General features: G+C 49.0%; 1 non-coding gene across 1 annotated transcript, besides 1 other annotated feature; it reads right to left on the reverse strand.

Moving 5' to 3' along the window:
* Nucleotides 2,567-3,480: an enhancer, noted in NCBI's record as "H3K27ac-H3K4me1 hESC enhancer chr16:28677654-28678567 (GRCh37/hg19 assembly coordinates)". NCBI's record gives its function as "activates a minimal SCP1, AML or CMV promoter by ChIP-STARR-seq in primed H9 embryonic stem cells {active_cell/tissue: H9 hESC(primed)}" and the evidence as "EXISTENCE:reporter gene assay evidence [ECO:0000049][PMID:30033119]".
* Nucleotides 8,467-8,570, reverse strand: LOC124903791 (small nucleolar RNA U13). The gene has a single exon (XR_007065236.1). It is a non-coding gene; the product is annotated as a small nucleolar RNA U13 (small nucleolar RNA).

The raw sequence follows: 19,991 nt of genomic DNA on the forward strand, positions 1-19,991 counted from the left end.
CATCTGTAGTAAAAATACAAAAATTAGCTGAGCCTAGTGGTGCACACCGGTAATCCCAGCTACTAGGGAGGCTGAGGAAGGAGAGTCACTTGAACCTGAGAGGTGAAGATTGCAGTGAGCCAAGATTTTGCCACTGCATTCCAACCTGGACGACAGAGCAAGAGTCTCAAAAAAAGAAAAAGAAAAAAAGGATAACTATTATAATCAAGGTCCTCAAGGTAGCCAAGAAGGGAAAAAAGAGTCGTGCATGAAACGTTTGTCCAGTTCCCTGTGTTGGGCACTGGGCATCACGGATGTGCCTACAGGTGTCTGTCACCAAGATGGGCTCCTCTGTGGCAGCTCCCGGGCCCTGGCACTGCCCTGTGCTCATGACTTCCCCTCCAGACTCAGGGCCCTTGGTATCTCCTCTTATTTTCACTGCCAGACAGGAAGGCCCCTTGGCCTGAGTCCAGCCATTTTTCTAGATCCTGGCACAGCTTGGACATGTAATGGTGCCCAACGCATGTGACTGGAACCCCTGCATTGGACATGAAGGAAACGAGGCCAGCTGGGAAAGGTAACCCCACATTCCCACAGCCAGCAGGAACCCAAGCAGAGGCTTCAACCCAGGCTTCTGACTTGCAAAGCAGTGCTCCTTCCTCCTTACACAGTAACAACAGGGGAAGGTGGCCTTCCGGGTTGCCAGAGCCGAGTGGTACCAGCAATAGAGTGGAAACTCACACACAGGCTTGCCTGCTTCCTGGGTTAGGGTTAGGGTTTATATGGCTCCGGGAGGTTGATGCATTGTGTTTGATCTTCCCCCTTTTTTTTTTTTTTGAGACAGAGTCTCATTCCTGTTGCCCAGGCTGGAGCACAGTGGTGTAATCTTGCTCACAGCAACTTCTGCCTCCCAGGTTCAAGCAATTGTCCCGCCTCAGCCTCCCGAGTAGCTGGGATCACAGGTGTGCGCCACCACACCCAGCTGATTTTTGTATTTTTAGTAGAAACGGGGTTTCACCATCTAGGCCAGGCTGGTCTTGAACTCCTGACCTCATATGATCCACCTGGTTTGGCCTCCCAAAGTGCTGGGATTATAGGCGTGAGCCACTGCGCTCATCCTGATCATCTCGTCTCTCTTTTTTTTTTTAGAGACAGGGTCTCACTCTGTCACCCACACTGGAGTGCAGTGGCACAATCATAGCTCACTGCAGCCTCCAAATCCTGGGCTCAAGCGATCCTCCTGCCTCAGCCTCCAGACATATGGGCATGCACCACCATGCCCAGCTAATTTTTAAATTTTTAGTAGATCTGGGGTCTCACTATGTTGCCCAGGCTGTTCACAAACTCCTGGCCTCAAGTGATTCTCCTGCCTTGGCCTCCGAAGGCGCTGGGATTTCAGGCATGAGCCACCATGCCCAGTCTCATTTCTGTTTTATCTAGAACATGTTTTCATCACACTGACTTTTTTGAGAAGTCCAGGCCAGATTTAAATTCCATTTTGTCTTTTTATCGGTGGAAAAGTAGCATATTTATGTTGCAGGACAAAGATGAATCAAATAGGAAGAAAATGTAAAACACATTTGGGGCCAGGCACAGTGGCTCATGCCTGTAATCCCAGCACTTTGGGAGGCCAAGGTGGGCAGATCACCTGAAGTCAGGAGTTCCAGACCAGCCTGACCAACATGGAGAAACCATGTTTTTTTTTTTTTTTTTTTTTTTTTTTTTTTTTTTTTTATTGACCATTCTTGGGTGTTTCTCGCAGAGGTGGATTTGGCAGGGTCATAGGACAATAGCGGAGGGAAGGTCAGCAGATAAACAAGTGAACAAAGGTCTCTGGTTTTCCTAGGCAGAGGACCCTGCGGCCTTCTGCAGTGTTTGTGTCCCTGGGTACTTGAGATTAGGGAGTGGTGATGACTCTTAACGAGCATGCTGCCTTCAAGCATCTGTTTAACAAAGCACATCTTGCACCACCCTTAATCCGTTTAACCCTGAGTGGACACAGCACATGTTTCAGAGAGCACAGGGTTGGGGTAAGGTCACAGATCAACAGGATCCCAAGGCAGAAGAATTTTTCTTACTACAGAACAAAATGAAAAGTCTCCCATGTCTACTTCCTTCTACACAGACACGGCAACCATCCGATTTCTCAATCTTTTCCCCACCTTTCCCCCCTTTCTATTCCACAAAACCGCCATTGTCATCCTGGCCCGTTCTCAATGAGCTGTTGGGCACACCTCCCAGCCGGGGTGGTGGCCGGGCAGAGGGGCTCCTCACTTCCCAGTAGGGGTGGCCGGGCAGAGTAGCCCCTCACCTCCCGGACAGGGCGGCTGGCCGGGTTGGGGGCTGACCCCCCCACCTCCCTCCCGGGTGGGGCGGCTGGTTGGGCGGGGGACTGATCCCCCCACCTCCCTCCCGGGTGGGGCGGCTGGCCGGGCGGGGGGGCTGACTCCCCCACCTCCCTCCCGGACGGGGCGGCTGGCCGGGCGGGGGGGCTGACCCCCACCTCCCTCCCGGACGGGGTGGCTGCCGGGCGGAGACGCTCTTCACTTCCCAGACGGGGTGGCTGCCGGGCGGAGGGGCTCCTCACTTCTCAGACGGGGCGGTCGCCAGGCAGAGGGTCTCCTCACTTCTCAGACGCTCCTCACCTCCCAGACGGGGTCGCGGCCGGGCAGAGGCACTCCCCACATCTCAGACGATGGGCAGCCTGGCAGAGACACTCCTCACCTCCCAGATGGGATGGCGGCCGGGAAGAGGCGCTCCTCACTTCCTAGATGGGATGGCGGCCGGGCAGAGAGGCTCCTCACTTTCCAGACTGGGCAGCCAGGCAGAGGGGCTCCTCACATCCCAGATGATGGGCGGCCAGGCAGAGACGCTCCTCACTTCCCAGACGGGGTGGCGGCCGGGCAGAGGCTGCAATCTCGGCACTTTGGGAGGCCAAGGCAGGCGGTTGAGAGGTGGAGGTTGTAGCGAGCCGAGATCATGCCACTGCACTCCAGCCTGGGCACCATTGAGCACTGAGTGAACGAGACTCCGTCTGCAATCCCAGCACCTCGGGAGGCCGAGGCTGGCGGATCACTAGCGGTCAGGAGCTGGAGACCAGCCCGGCCAACACGGCGAAACCCCGTCTCCACCAAAAAACACAGACGGCGCGTGCCTGCAATCCCAGGCACTTGGCAGGCTGAGGCAGGAGAATGAGGCAGGGAGGTTGCAGTGAGCCGAGATGGTGGCAGTACAGTCCAGCCTCGGCTCGGCATCAGAGGGAGACTGTGGAAAGTGGGAGAGGAAGGGGGAGGGGGAGGGAGAGGACAAAAAATTAAAATTTAGCCGGACATGGTTGTGTGTGCCAGTAGTCCAAGCTGCTGGGGAGACTGAGGCAGGAGGATCACTTGAGCCCAGGAACTTAAGGTCTATTTAAGTAAAGGGTACAGTGAGCTGTGATTATACCACTGCACTCCAGCCTGGGGAATAGAGCAAGACCCTGTCTCTAAAAAAAGGTAACAAAATAACATGAATGGATTCCATTTTAAGAGAATGAAGCATCATTGTGTAAGACTATGAAATTGGAAGCAAAGAGCATGAAGCCCAAAAAAAAAAAAAAAAACCATCTGAAGTCAGGGTGCCTGGGGTCAGAGGTAGGGGGAGGATTGAAGAGGTGCAGATGTAAAAAACTGAAGCTACTGTGACCAGTGGATTCGGGAGTTGAAGGAGTCAAGAATGACACATTCTCCTGACTGGAGGATAAACAAATATGACTGTTTTCAAGAAATAGCTGGAATATTCTTTGTGTTCAGAAGTACAAGAACAGCACATATGGAGGGCGGACTGATACTGAAGTTGAAGAGAAGCCTTCTGACGTGCACTAACTAGATTCTAGACTCAGCTTCTGTCACAAGGAGCCCCAAACAGTGACTCAGCAAAATAGCTTATTTCTCATGTGACAGTTCAGAGGTGATTGGTCCAGGGTTAGGGTTAGACAACAACCGTTATGCAAAATCATCTAGGGACCCAGGGCTGCGCTGTCATGTTGCTCTTGCATCCCCAAGGTTGTCATCTGTGTGGTTAAAGCGGCTCACCAGCCCCAAGTCCTCGTTCAAGCCCATGTAAAAGGAAGCGGAAATACAGGGCCTGGAAATTACACTGATCCCATTGGCCAGAACTTAGTCTCACCTTCTTACCACCCTATATGCGAGACTAAAATGCCTCTAGCTGGATAGTTACATGTTCATTTAAACTTGGGTCATTTTGTTTCTAAATGAAGGGAAGGGGCACAAGTATTAGTCTGTCACAGAAGAGAAAGAACAGAGAGAAAGGTTTTGAAGGGAATGACTTATAAATAGTTACCCGAAGTCTGGTCGTGGCTGACATCAGAGCCAGCATGTTGACCACTTCCATACTGCGTGCTTTAGCTGCCTTATCTCACTTAATCTCAGAATAACCCTATTGTCATTCCCAACTTGTAGATGGGAAAACAGACCCAAAGAGAAGTGATTTACCTTCCACACAATGGGGAAGTAAGGGGGCTAGGTGCACGTCAAGGCAGCCTGTGCCTGGCTCTTATACCTGGTGCTGCTTACATTTCCAGAGGGGGCAGCCTAGAGGAGAGGCCTAGGGACTGGACTCAACGTGCGAGTGCTTGGTGGAAGGGAAGCCAGAGGATCGAGTGGCCAGAGGTTAAGAACCAGGGAGGAGCAGTGATGAAAAGGCTGGAGAGCTTATGCATTTCAGGGCTGGGCTGCCAAGTACCTCACTTGGCCAGTTCAGCATTCTTAGGCAGGAGGCACAGCCATTGTGTTGTCCAATGCCAGGGTATATACCTTTTTCAGTTTCCAATCTACCAATGGTGACCTTTGAACAGCATTGTCAAACCCTTTTCTGCCCAGGGCTAGATAGTATATATTTTAAGCTTTGTGGGCCACACGTGGATTGTCACTCCTTTTCTTAACTTTTTTTTTTTTTTTTTGAGACAGGGTCTCCGCTCTGTCGCCCAGGCTGTTAACTACCGTTAACATTTTAATGCCTCTCTTTCTGGTGTGTGTATATTTATTACTAGACTGGAATCATCCTATATCTATGTCATCTGTTGCTGTTTCCTGTCCCTTTACATAAAGTGAGCTGCTTTCTGAAATTTTATTTATTTTATAATTTATTTATTTTATAGACAGAGTCTTGCCCTGTCACCCAGGTTGGAGTTCAGTGGTGCAATCTCAGCTCACTGCAATCTCAGCCTCCCGAGTAGCTGGGACTACAGACACTCGCCACCACACCCGGCTAATTTTCATATTTTTAGTACAGATGGGTTTTCACCATGTTGGCCAGACTGGTCTTGAACTCCTGGCCTCAAGTGATCTGCCCGCCTCAGCGTCCCAAAGTGCTGGGATTACAGGCATGAGCCACCATGCCCGGCCTCCCCTCCCTTTAAATAACATGAACTGCTTTCCTAAATTTTAGCTAATCCCCTGGGTTGGAAGGTGGGAGGGCATAGGGGCCAAAAGGACAAGGCTCAAGTCAAGATGCCTGGGTTCACATTCCAGCCCTTCCCTTAGAAGCTGCCACCCTTGGGACAATCTCGCTTCTCTAAGCCTCAGCGGCTTCATCTGTGAAAGATCATCTCTCTTTGTTGGAGTTGCTGTGCATTCCGTGAAAGGGCCGTATATGCCAAGTGACCCTCATGCCAAAGGAGCCAAAAAAAAAAAGGAAGCAGACAAATCCAGTTTGTCAGTTTTGGGTGATTTATTAAGGAACTTACACACAAAAGCATGGTCTTGGGCTGCGCCATGACAGATCTCCACACCACAGCCCCAAGACCTACCGCTTATGTCTTGGAGCAAAAGCATAGTGCTCTGGAAGGAATGTATAGGTGGCTACAGTGCTCACAGCCTGTCATTTCTGCAACAACAGGGTGGTTTTGGAGGAAATTTACAATTAACAGACGTTCCTACATAAACAGTCATACATCCACCAGGCATGGTGGCACACAACTATAGTCCCAGCAACTCAGAAGACTGAGGTGGGAGGATCACCTGAGCCTGGAAGGTCGAGGCTTCAGTGAGCTGTCATCACACCACTGCATTCCAACCTGGGTGACAGACAGACTGTCTCAAGACACAAAAGCACGAGAAGAGAAGCAGTTTGAATAAAGTACTGTCTCTAATGAAAAGTACTTTAGGCTGGGCATGGTGGCTCATGCCTGTAATCCCAGCACTTTGGGAGGCTGAGGCAGGTGGATCACAAAATCAGGAGTTCGAGACCAGCCTGACCAACATGGTGGAACCCCATCTCTACTAAAAATACAAGAATTAGCCAGGCATAGTGGTGCATGACTGTAGTCCAAGCTACTTGGGAGGCTAAGACAGGAGAATTGCTTGAACCCAAGAGGTGGAGGTTGCAGTGAGCCACGATTGTGCCATTGCACTCCAGCCTGGGTGACAGAGTGAGACTCCATCTCAAAAGAAAAAAAGTACTTAAAAAAATTTTTTTTTAATTAAAAAAGCCAGACGTAGGCAGGTGGATCATGAGGTCAGGAGATCAAGACCATCCTGGCCAACATGGTGAAACCCCATCTCTACTAAAAATACAAAAATAAGCCAGGTGTGGTGGCACACACCTGTAATCCCAGCTACTCGGGAGGCTGAGACGGGAGAATCCTTTGAACTCAGGAGGCGGAGGTTGTAGTGAGCCGAGATTGCGCCACTGCACTCCAGCCTGAGCAACAGTGAGACTCCATCTCAAAAACAAAAACAAAAAAAGCAAGCCAGGCACGGCTCACACCAGTAATCCCAGCACTTTGGGAGGCCAAGTCGGGAGGATTGCCTGAGCCCAGGAGTTTGAGACCAGCATGGACAACATGGTGACACCCGTCTTTATAAAAATTTTTTAAAAAATAAAAGGTAATACATCAAGACTGTGTACAGTGGCTCATGCCTGTAATCTCAGCACTTTGGGAGGCCAAGGCGAGAATTGCTTGAGATCAGGAATTTGAGACCACCCTGGGCAACATAACAAGACCCCAACTCTACAAAAAAAAAATTTTAATGAGCAGGGGGCATTTGTTGAGCTGGCCTATTGTCCCAGCTACTTGGAGGCTGACAGTTCAAGTGCCAGGGTCCGAGCCAAAAGATGTGGGGTGTAACCTATGGTGAACGGGTTGTGGTCTGTATCACACCAGAGTTCATAGCCTAAGTAAAGGGGAGAGGAGGCAGCGACTGTGCTGCCGGGGTGGGAACCAAACTTCCCTTTCAGTCTCTTCCACTGACCTGACACTTCCCTTGTAGGGCCTCAGGATCCTCATCTTTCTAATGAAGAGGATCGTTTCCAAAGGATGGCAAACTTCAGTACCTTCTAATCAGTTATCTAAATTTTTTTTTTTGAGACGGAGTCTTGCTCTGTCACCCAGGCTGGAGTGCAGTGGCGTGATCTTGGCTCACTGCAGCCTCTGCCTCGGATTCAAGCGATTCTCCTGCCTCAGCCTCCTGAGTAGCTGGGATTACAGGCATCCACCACCATGCCTGGCTATCAGTTATCTAATTTTATTTTACTTAAAATTATTGAGGTGAAATAACATAAAGTAACCATTTTATTTATTTATTTCTATTTATTTATTTATTTGAGATGGGGTTTTGCTCTTGTTGCCCAGGCTGGAGTGCAGTGGCACAATCTCGGCTTACTGCAACCTCTGCCTCCTGGGATCAAGTGATTCTCCTGCCTCAGCCTCCTGGGTAGCTGGGATTATAGGCACACACCACCATGCCTGGCTAATTTTTGTATTTTATTAGTAGAGATGGGTTTCGCCATGTTGACCTGGCTGGTCTCGAACTCCTGACCTCAGGTGATCTGCCCACTTTGGCCTCCCAAAGTATTTATTTTATTTTGAGACAGGGTCTTGCTCTGTCATCCTGGCTGGAGTGCAATGATAGCTCACTGCAGCCTTGAACGAACTCGTGGGTTCTCAGCCTCCATCTCAGCCTCCAGATAACTGGGGCTATGGCTAATGTTTTTGTTTGTTTGTTTGTTTGTTTTGAGACAGAGTCTCACTCTGTTACCCAGGCTCAAATGCAATGGCGAGATCTTGGCTCACTGCAACCTCCACTTCCCAGGTTCCAGTGATTCCCCTGCCTCAGCCTCTCGAGTAGCTGGGATTACAGGCGCTCATTACCACAACTGGCTAATTTTTTTTTTTTTTTAATACAGAGATGAGGTTTCACCATATTGGCCAAGCTGGTCTCAAACTTCTGATCTCGGGTGATCCACCTGCCTCAGTCTCCCAAAGTGCCATGCCCAGCTAATTTTTAAATTGAGACCAGGTCTCCCTGTGTTAACCATGCTGATCTTGAACTTCCAGGATCAAGTGATCCTTCTGCCTGGGCCTCCCAAAGTGCTGGAATTCCAGGCATAAGCCATCATGGCTGGCCTGATTTTTTAAAAGAAACAGAAATTGGGATTTTATTGTGAAATCTCCTGATCTTAGTATATTGGATTTCATTATTTTTACATCAGGCAGATAATGTGTCAATGTCAAAACAAGGTTTGAGGGAGGTGCAACTCACGCATGAGCATGAAAACACAGTCATCACGTTTATGAACTACAAAAAGATGTGGCTTTAATTATTTGAAAGACATCTTGGCCAGGCCAGGTGGCTCACTCCTGTAATCCCAGCACTTTGGGAGGCCGAGGCAGGTGGATCACCTGAGGTCAGGAGATCGAGACCATACTGGTCAACATGGTGAAACCCTGTCTCTACGGGCCGGGTGCGGTGGCTCAAGCCTGTAATCCCAGCACTTTGGGAGGCCGAGGTGGGTGGATCACAAGGTCAGGAGATCGAGACCATCCTGGCTAACATGGTGAAACCCCATCTCTACTAAAAATACAAAAAATTAGCCAGGTGTGGTGGCGGGCACCTGTAGTCCCAGCTACTCAGGAGGCTGAGGCAGGAGAATGGCATGAACCTGGGAGGTGGAGGTTGCAGTGAGCCGAGATCATGCCACTGAGCTCCAGCCTGGGTGAAAGAGCGAGACTCCGTCTCCAAAAAAAAAAAAAAGAAAGAAAGAAAGAAAAAGAAACCCTGTCTCTACTAAAAATACAAAAATTACCTGGGCATGGTGGTGGGAGCCTGTGGTCCCAGTTACTCAGGAGGCTGAGGCAGAAGAATCGCTTGAACCCAGGAGGTGGAGATTGCAGTGAGCCGAGATCACGCCACTGCACTCCAGCCTGGTGACAGAGTGAGACTCTGGCTCAAAAAAAAAAAAACATTTTACTGGTCAATACTATATAAGACAAGCAGGCCGGGCGCGGTGGCTCAAGCCTGTAATCCCAGCACTTTGGGAGGCCGAGGTGGGCGGATCACAAGGTCAGGAGATCGAGACCATCCTGGCTAACATGGTGAAACCCCATCTCTACTAAAAATACAAAAAAAAATTAGCCGGGCATGGTGGCGGGCACCTGTAGTCCCAGCTACTTGGGAGGCTGAGGCAGGAGAATGGCGTGAACCCAGGAGGCGGAGCTTGCAGTGAGCCGAGATCACGCCACTGCACTCCAGCCTGGGCGACAGAGCAAGACTCCATCTCAAATAATAATAATAATAATAATAAGACAACAAAACATTTGCTGGCCAGGTGATGAAAGGTGAATTCTGCTTTCATCACAGTTACTGTCAAGCATTCAACCACAATTTATTGAGACTTCCATGCAGAACTTTGTGGAAAGCAAAGCACTGGGGAGAGATTCCATGAACATCATTCATTTAAACACCCATTTGTTATTTTATTTTATTTATTTATTTTATTTTATTTTTTTGAGACGGAGTCTTGCTCTTGTCACCCAGGCTGGAGTGTAGTGGCGTGATCTCAGCTCACTGCAACCTCCGTCTCCTGGGTTCAAGTGATTCTGCCGCCTCCTCCTCCTGAGTAGCTGGGATTACAGGCGCCCACCCCAACACCTGGCTAATTTTGGTACTTTTAGTAGAGATGGGATTTCGCCATGCTGGCCAGGCTGGTCTTGAACTCCTGACCTCAGCTGATCCGCCCGCCTTGGCCTCCCAAAGTGCTGGGATTACAGGCGTGAGCCACCACGCCTGGCTATCTTATTATTTTTTTAATTGAGACAAAGTCTCACTTTGTCACCCAAGCTGGAGTGCAGTGGCACAATCTTGGCTCACTGCAACCTCTGCCTCCTGGGTTCAAGCAATTCTTCTGCCTCAGCCTCCCAAGTAGCTGGATTACAGGCATGCACCACCACGCCTGGCTAATTTTTGTATTTTTAGTAGAGATGAGGGTTCACCATGTTGGCCAGGCTGGTCTCGAACTTCTGACCTCAAGTGATTTTTCTGCCTCAGCCTCTGAAAGTACTGGGATTATAGGCATGAGCCACTGCACCTGGCCTATGTTTATTTATTTTTGAGACAGAGTATTGCTCTGTTGCCCACGCTGGAGTGCAGTGGCGTGATCTTGGCTCACTGCAACCTCCGTCTCCTGGGTTCAAGCAATTCTCCTGCCTCAGCCTCCTGAGTAGCTGGGATTACAGGCACCCGCCACCATGCCCAGCTAATTTTTGTATTTTTAGTAGAGACAGAGTTTCACTATGTTGGCCAGGCTGGTCTTGAACTCCTGACTTCAGGTGATCTGCCCACCTTGGCCTCCCAGAGTGCTGGGATTACAGGCATGAGCCACCACGCCCAGCCCCCATTAATTTTTTAGACTTTTATTATATTTTTTGAGACAGGGTCTCACTGTGTCTCCCAGGCTGGTGTGCAGTGGTACAAGCACAGCTCACTGAAGCCTCCCAGCTCAAGCAATCCTCTCACCTCAGCCTCCCGGGTAGCTGGAACGTGCCACCACACCTGGCTAATTTTTCTATTTTTTGGTAGAGATCGGGGTCTTGCTTTGTTGCCCAGGCTGGTCTTGAATTCCTGGGCTCAAGTGATCCTCCCACATTGGTCTCCCAAAGTGCTAGGATTACAGATATGAGGCACCATGCCCAGACTTAAACACCCATTTATTGTGCACTTTCTCTGCACCAGGCCCTGATCTGAGCCCCATGCACAGATGTGAACAAGACCTTACTCTCCAGGGACCAGGGGAAAGAAGTGCTACTTCTGTGCTCTGGAGAACCGAGTTCTCCAATCAGAAAAGATGAGAATGGAGGCCAGGTGCAGTGGTGACTAACGCCTGTACTCACACTTTGGGAGGCCGAGGCAGGAGGATCACCTGAGGTTAGGAGTTCGAGAGCAGTCTGGCCAACATGGTGAAAACCTATCTCTACTAAAAATACAAAAATTAGCCAGGTGTGGTGCCGTGTGCCTGTAATCCCAGCTACTTGGGAGGCTGAGGCAGAAGAATTGCTTGAACCTGGGAGGTAGAGGTTGCAGTGAGCTGAGATTCCCGCCACTGCACTCCAGCCTGGGGGACAGAGAGAGACTGTCTCAAAAAAAAAAAAAAAGTTTTTTAAATTTAAAAAGGCAGCCGGGCGCAGTGGCTCACGCCTGTAATCCCAGCACTTTGGGAGGCCGAGGCGGGCAGATCATGAGGTCAGGAGATCGAGAACCTCCTGGCTAACACAGTGAAACCCCATCTCTACTAAAAACACAAAAAATTAGCTGGGCGCAGTGGCGGGCGCCTGTAGTCCCAGCTACTCAGGAGGCTGAGGCAGGAGAATGGCGCGAACCCGGGAGGCAGAGCTTGTAGTGAGCTGAGACTGCGCCACTGCACTCCAGCCTGGGTGACAGAGCGAGACTCCGTCTCAGAAAAAAAAAAAAAAAAAAAAAAAAGCCAGTCACAGTGGCTCACGCCTGTAATCCCAGCACTTTGGAAGGCCAAGGTGGGTGGATCACAAGGTCAGTAGTTCAAGAGCAGCCTGGCCAAGATGGTGAAATCCTGTCTCTACCAAAAATACAAAAATTAGCTGGGCGCAGTGGCAGGTGCCTGTAATCCCAGCTACTTGGGAGGCTGAGGCAGGAGAATCATTTGAACCCAGGAGGTGGAGGTTGCAATGAGCTGAGATCGTGCCACTGCACTCCAGCCTGGGTGACAAGAGTGAGATGCTGTCAAAAAAAAAAAAAACGGAATTGCTAGGACAGTCAAAAACAAATGGAATTGCTAGGACAGTCTAGACAGTTTTCACAAAGCAAGACTTTGGTCCCCTCTTCAGGACTCAGCATGGCCTCAGATCCAGCCACCAGGCCCTGAATACCTTCAAGTTTGAGTGTAGAAGGGCATATTTCGCCTTCTTTTTGTGCTCCCCCTGACACCCTGACGTTCTTGACTCATCTGTCTTCATCTTCCGAGCCAACTTTGCTTACCCACAAAGGGAGGGCACTATTCCCTCACAAAACACAGCCCAAGGCTCACTCTTTCCTCTTTTCCTATAGAAGAGCCAAAGGGCATGACAGTTGCCTCTGCTCCTTTAACCTACCCACTCTTTCCTCACAGCCCTCCTCAGCCTTCACAGTCCATAATGCAGTCTTGAATTCTGGGCTTCATATTCTCGACACACTCTGCAAACAGAATCCCCTAGGAAGCTATATTTATTTCCTTTTTTTTTTTTTTTTTTTTTTTTGAGACGGAGTCTCACTCTGTCACCCAGCCTGGAGTGCAATGGCATGATCTCGGCTCACTGCAACCTCTGCCTCCCGGGTTCAAACGATTCTCCTGCTTTGGCCTCCCGAGTAGCTGGGACTACAGGTGCCCACCACCACACCTGGCTAATTTTTGTATTTTTGGTAGAGACAGGGTTTCACTATGTTGGCCAGGCTGGTCTCAAACTCCTGACCTCATGATCCTCACACCTCAGCCTCTCAAAGTGCTGGGATTACAGGCATGCGCCACCATGCCTGGCCTATTTACTTATTTTTATTTTTATTTTGAGACAGGTTCTCACTTTGTTGCCCAGGCTGCAGTGCAGTGGCATAAACATGGGTTATAGCAGCCTTGACCTCCTAGGCTCAAGCAAGCCCCCTGCCTCAGTCCCCCAAGCAGCTGGAACTACAGATATGTGCCACCATGTCCGGCTAATTTTTTTTTTTTTTTGAGGTGGAGTCTCGCTCTGTTGCACAGGCTGTAGTACAGTGGTGTGATCTTGGCTCACTGCAACTTCTGCCTCCCAGAGGCAGAGGATTACTCACACCTGTAATCCCAGTTTAGGGAGGCTGAAGTGGGCAGACAGCTTGAGGCCAGGAGTTTGACACCATCCTGGCCAACATGGTGAAAGCCTGTCTCTGCTAAATAAAAAAATTAGCCAGGCATGGTGGCACATGCCTGTGGTCCCAGCTACTCAGGAGGCTGAGGCACAAGAATCGCTCGAACCCAGGAGGCGTAGTTTTCAGTGAGCTGAGATCTCACCATTGCACTCCAGCCTGGGCGACAAGAGACTTCGTCTCAAAAAAAAAAAAAAAAAAAAAAAAAAGATAATAAAGATGAGCAGAAATAAATGCAGCAGAGAATAAAAAATAGAGGAAGTAAGTAAAACCAAAATAATTTGGTTCTTTGAAAAATCCATAAAATTGATGAACCTTTAGATGGACTGACCAAGAAAAAAGCAGAGGAGACTCAAACTGCAAAACAGGAGCAAAAGAGGAGACATCACTACCAACATTAGATAAGTAAAAGAATTATCAGGGAATACTATGAACAGTTGTATGCCAACAAATTAGATGAAAGGAACAAATTCCTAGGGGAATTTAAACACCAAACTTAAGAAGAAATATAAAATCTAGGCCAGGCATGGTGGCTCACGTCTGTAATCCCAGCACTTTGAGGGGCTGAGTCAAGTAGATCATCTGAGATCAGGAGTTTGAGACCAGCCTGACCAACATGGTGAAACCTCATGTCTACTAAAGATACAAAAAATTAGCCAGGCAAGTGGCGCACGCCTGTAATCCCAGCTGAGGCAGGAGAATCACTTAAACCGGGGAGGTGGAGGTTGCAGTAAGCTGAGATTGTGCCATTGCACTCTAGCCTGGGTGACAGGGCGAGACTCTGTCTCAAAAATAAATAAATAAATAAATACAAAAATTAGCCGGGTATGATGGCATGTGCCTATAATGCCAGCTACTCTGGAGGCTGAGGCAGGAGAGTCACTTGAACCCAGGAGGCTGAGGCTGCAGTGAGCTGAGATGGCGCCATTGCACTCCAGCCTGGGCAACAAGAGGGAAATTCCAACTCAAAAAGAAAAAGAAAAAAAGAAATATAAAACCTAAATTGATCTATTGTAAAGACTTTTTTTTTTTTTTTTTTTGAGATGGAGTCTTGCTGTGTCACCCAGGCTGGAGTGCAGTGGCGCAATCTCAGCTCATGGCAACCTCCCCCTCCCGGGTTCAAGCGATTCTCATGCCTCAGTCTCCCAAGTAGCTGGGATTACAGCTGCATGCCACCAGGCTCAGCTCATTTTTTTGTATTTTAGTAGAGATGGGGTTTCACCATGTTGGCCAGGCTGGTCTTGAACTCCTGACCTCAGGTGATCTGCCTGCCTTGGCCTCCCAATGTGCTGGGATTACAGGTGTGAACCACCACACCCGGACTATTCTTTTGTGTATGGATATCCAGTTGTCCCACTGCTATTATCGAAAAGGTTGTTCTTTCCCCCATTAAGTGGTCTTGGAACCCTTGTCAAAAATTAATCTTCCATGTAGAAGGTTTATTTCTGGGCTCTCTAATCTATTCCACTTGTGTCCGGAATTGGTGGGTTCTTGGTCTCACTGACTTCAAGAATGAAGCCGCGTACCCTCGCGGTGAGTGTTACAGCTCTTAAGGTGGCGCGTCTGGAATTTGTTCCTTCTGACGTTCGGATGTGTTTGGAGTTTCTTCTTTCTGGTGGGTTCGTGGTCTCCCTGGTTCAGGAGTGAAGCTGCAGACCTTCGCGGTGAGTGTTACAGCTCTTAAGGTGGCGCGTCTGGAGTTGTTCATTCCTCCCGGTGGGCTCATGGTCTCGCTGGCTTCAGAAGTGAAGTTGCATACCTTCGCGGTGTTACAGCTCATAAAAGCAGCGTGGAGCCAAAGAGTGAGCAGTAGCAACATTTATCGCAAAGAGCGAAAGAACAAAGCTTCCACAGCGTGTAACAAGACCCGAGCCAGTTGCCACTGTGGGCGCGGGCAGCCTGCTTTTATTCTCTTATCTGGCCCCACCCACATCCTGCTGATTGGTAGGGCTGAGTGGTCTGTTTTGACAGGGTGCTGATTGGTGCGTTTACAATCCCTGAGCTAGACACAAAGGTTCTCCACCTCCCCACCAGATTAGCTAGACACAGAGTGTCAGCACAAAGGTTCTCCAAGGCCCCACCAGATAGCTAGATACAGAGTGTCGACTGGTGCATTCACAAACCCTGAGCTAGACACAGGGTGCTGATTGGTGTGTTTACAAACCTTGAGCTAGATACAGAGTGCCCATTGGTGTATTTACAATCCCTGAGCTAGACATAAAGGTTCTCCACGTCCCCACCAGACTCAGGAGCCCAGCTGGCTTCACCCAGTGGATCCCGCACCGGGGCTGCAGGTGGAGCTACCTGCCAGTCCCGCGCTGTCTACCTGCACTCCTCAGCCCTTGGGTGGTCGATGGGACTGGGCGCCGAGGAGCGGGGGACAGTGCTCCTGGGGAGACTCCGGCCTCACAGGAGCCCATGGAGGGGGTGGGAGGCTCAGGCATGGCGGGCTGCAGGTCCGGAGCCCTGCCCGGCGGGAGGGCAGCTAAGACCCCGTGAGAAATCGAGAGCAGCGCCCGTGGGCTGGCATTGCTGGGGGACCCAGTACACCGTCCGCAGCTGCTGGCCTGGGTACTAAGCCCCTCATTGCCCGGGGCTGGCAGGGCCGGCTGGTGGCTCCTAGTGCAGGGCCCGCCAAGCCCACGCCCACTCGGACCTCCAGCTGGCCCGCAAGCGCCGCGCGCAGCCCCGCTTCCCACTCGTGCCTCTCCATCCACACCTCCCCGCAAGCTAAGGCAGCTGGCTCCAGCCTTGGCCAGCCCAGAAAGGGGCTCCCACAGAGCAGTGGTGGGCTGAAGGGCTCCTCAAATGCCGCCAAAGTGGGAGCCCAGGCAGAGGAGGCGCCAAGAGCGAACGAGGGCTGTGAGGACTACCAGCACGCTGTCACCTCTCACACTGGTCTAATATATGTGTCTATTTTTTTCTCTCTTTCTTTATTTTTGAGACGGAGTCTCACTCTGTTGCCCAGGCTGGAGTGCACTGGCATGATCTCAGTTCACTGCAACCTCTGCCTCCTAGGCTTGAGTGATCCTCCCACCTCAGCCTCCTCCTCAGTAGCTGGGACTATAGGCGCAGGCTACCACGCCTAGCTAATTGTATTTTTTGTAAAGACTGGGTTTTGCCATGTTGCCCAGGTTGATTTTGAACTCCTGGGCTCAAGCAATCCACTCACCTCAGTCTCCCAAATTGTTGAGATTACAGGCGGCCTTATATGTTTGTCTTTATGCCAGTACCACACTCTTTTCATTGTGGTAGGTTAGTATTTAAGTTTTGAAATCAGGAAATGAGAGACCTGGTTTCTTCTTTTTCTGCAGACCTTTTTTTCCGTCTTTTTTTGTGTTATTTAGGATGCCTTGTGATTCCACATAAATTTTAGGATGAGTTTTTGTATATCTGTAAAATATTAAAAATACCATTTGGATTTTGATACAAATTGCATTGAATCTGTAGATTGCTCTGGGTAGTACCGTCATCTTAACAATATTAAATCTTACATTCAGGCCGGGCGCAGTGGCTCATGCCTGTAATCTCAGCACTTTGGGAGGCTGAGGCGGGCAGATCACTTGAGGTCAGGAGTTCGAGACCAGCCCTGCCAACATGGTAAAATCCTGTCTCTACTAAAAATGCAAAAAAAAAAAATTAGCTGGGCGTGGTGGCACGTGCCTGTAGTTCCCGCCACTCAGGAGGCTGAGGCAGAAGAATCACTTGAACCCAGGAGGCAGAGGTTGCAGTGAGCCAAGATCGCATCACAGCACTCCAGCCTGGGTGACAGAGCAAGACTCTGTCTCAAAAAACAAACAAACAATAAATTTTACATTCTATAAACATAGGATATCTTTTTATTTATGTCTCTTTAATTTTTTGTAGTTTTCAGTTACAAATATTTTGCCTCATTGGTTACATTTCTTCCTATTTGATTCCTTTTCATGGCTTTTTTTTTTCTTGAGATAGAATTTCGCTCTTTTTGCCCAGGCTGGATTGCAGTGGTGTGATCTTGGCTCACTGCAACCTCTGCCTTCTGGGTTCAAGTGATTCTCCTGCCTCAGCCTCCCAAGTAGCTGAGATTACAGGCACCCGCCTCCACGCCCAGCTAATTTTTTGTTTTTGTTTTTGTTTTTTGAGATGTAGTTTTGCTCTTATTGCCCAGGCTGGAGTGCAATGGTGTGACCTCGGCTCACCGCAACCTCTGCCTCCCGGGTTCAAGCAATTCTCCTGCCTCAGCTTTCTGAGTAGCTGGGATTACAGGCATGTGCCACCACGGCCAGCTAATTTTATTTGTATTTTTAGTAGAGACAGAGTTTCTCTGTGTTGGTCAGGCTGGTCTCGAACATCCGACCTCAGGTGATCTGCCCGCCTTGGCCTCCCAAAGTGCTGGGATTATAGGCGTGAGCCACCGCACCCGGCCAGTTTTTTGTATTTTTAGTAGAGACTGGATTTTACCATGTTGGCCAGGCTGGTCTTGAACTCCTGACCTCAGGTGATCCACCCACCTCAGCCTCCCAAAGTGCTGGGATTACAGGTATGAGCCATTGCACCCGGCCGCATGGTAATTTAAATAGAGTTGTTTTCTTAATTTCTCTTTGGGGTTATTCATCGTTAGTGTAAAGAAATGCAACTGATTTTTGTGTGTTGACTTTGTATGCTGCAACTTTGTTGAATTCATTTATTGGCTCTAATAGTTGTGTATGTATGTAAGCTTTAGGGTTTTCCACGTATAAAATCATTTCATCTGCAAGTACAGATAATTTTACTTTTTCCTTTCCAATTCAGGTAACTTTTACTTATTTTTCTTGCTTAATTTCTCTGGCTAGAAATTCCAATACTCTGTTAAATAGAAGTGGCCAAAGTGGTGGTTCTTGTTTTGTTCCTGATCTTATGGGGAAAATTTTCAGTCTTTCATCATTGAATATGATGTTAACTCTGTTTTTCATGTATGGCCTTTACCATGTTGAGGAAAATTCTTCTAGTTCTAGTTTTATTTTATTTTTTCCAGACAGGGCCTTGTTCTCTCACCCAGGCTGGAGTGCAGTGGCCTGATAATGGCTCCCTGCAACCTCCACCTCCTGGGTTCAAGCCGTCCTCCCACCTCAGCCTCCCAAGTAGCTGGGACTACAGGCATGCACCACCATACCCAGCTTAATTTTTGTTTTTGGTAGAGACATGGTTTTGCCATGTTGCCAAGGCTGGTCTTGAACTCCTGAGCTCCAGCGATCCACCTGCCTCGGCCTCCCAAAGTACTAGGGTTACAGGCGTGAGCCACCGTGCCTGGCTGAGTGTTTTTTTTTAAATCTTGAAAGAGTATTGGATTTTGCCGAATACTTTTTCTGCATCAACTGAGACAATTATAAGATTTTTCCCTTTATTCTATTAATGTGGTATATGACATTGATTAATTTTCATATGTTAAAACATCTTTGCATTCCAGGAATAAATCCAACTTGTTCATGGATAAAATACTTTTTTTTTTTTTCCTGAGACAGTCTTGCTCTGTCGTCCAGGCTGGAGTGCAGTGGCGCAACCTTGGCTCATTGCAACCCCCACCCCCTGGGTTCAAGCAGTTCTCCTGCCTCAGTCTCCTGAGTAGCTGGGATTTACAGGCATGCGCCACCACGCCCGGCTACTTTTTGTATTCTTAATAGAGATGGGGTTTCACCATGTTGGCCAGGCTGGTCTCAAACTCTTGACCTCATGATCCGCCCACCTTGGCATCCCAAAGTGCTGGGATTACAGGCATGAGCCACCATGCCCGGCCCCATAAAATCCTTTTAATATGCTGCTGAAATTGGTCCTCTATTTTATATATATATATATATATATTTTTTTTTTTTTTTTTGAGATGAAGTCTCACTCTGTTATCAGGCTGGTGTGCAGTGGCACAATCTCAACTCACTGCAACCTCCACCTTTTGGGTTCAGGCGATTCTCCTGCCTCAGCCTCCTGAGTAGCTGAGACTACAGGCACGCACCACCACACCCAGCTAATTTTTGTACTTTTAGTAGAGATGGGGTTTCACCATGTTGGCCAGAATGGTCTCGATCTCTTGACCTTGTGATCTGCCCGCCTCAGCCTCCCAAAGTGCTGGGATTACAGGTGAGAGCCACCGTGCCCGGCCATATATATATATATATATATTTTTTTTTTTTTTTTTGAAACAGAGTCTCACTTGTTAACCCAGGCTGGAGTGCAGTGGCGCAATCTTGGCTCACTGCAACCTCCACCTCCCAGATTCAAGCAATTTTGTATTTTCAGTAGAGATGGAGTTTCACCGTGTTGCCCAGGCTGGTGTCAAACTCCTGACCTCAAGTGATCCACCCGCCTCAGCCTCCCAAAGTGCTGGGGTTACATGCGTGAGCCAGTGCAGATATGTTTTGGTCCCCAGCAGGATATGTTTTGGTCCAATTTATGGAGGAGGAGGAAGGAGGAGAGTGAGGAGGAGGCGGAGAAGGAGAGAGGTCCCAAGGAGGCCTCCCATCAAGTTCCGTTCCCAAGGCAATGCTTCCCTGCTGATGCTCAGCAAGCAGTGAAAGAATGCAGCATGCCCAGCCATAAACACTAATGAAATCATGTTCTTCGCTCTGACATGGATGTAGCTGGCGGTCATTATCCTAAGCAAATTAACCCAGGAACAGAAAACCAAGGACTGCGTGTTCTCACTTATAAATGAGATCTAAACATTGAGTACACATTGCCTGGGTGTGGTGGCTCACACCTGTAATCCCAGCACTTTGGGAGGCTGAGGCAGGTGGATCATCTGAGGTCAGGAGTTCAAGATCAGCCTGGCCAATATGGCGAAACCCTGTCTCTACAAAAATACAAAAATTAGCCAGG

This window comes from Homo sapiens, chromosome 16 (genome assembly GCF_000001405.40).
Source record: "Homo sapiens chromosome 16, GRCh38.p14 Primary Assembly".
Classification (NCBI taxonomy): Eukaryota; Metazoa; Chordata; class Mammalia; order Primates; family Hominidae; genus Homo; species Homo sapiens.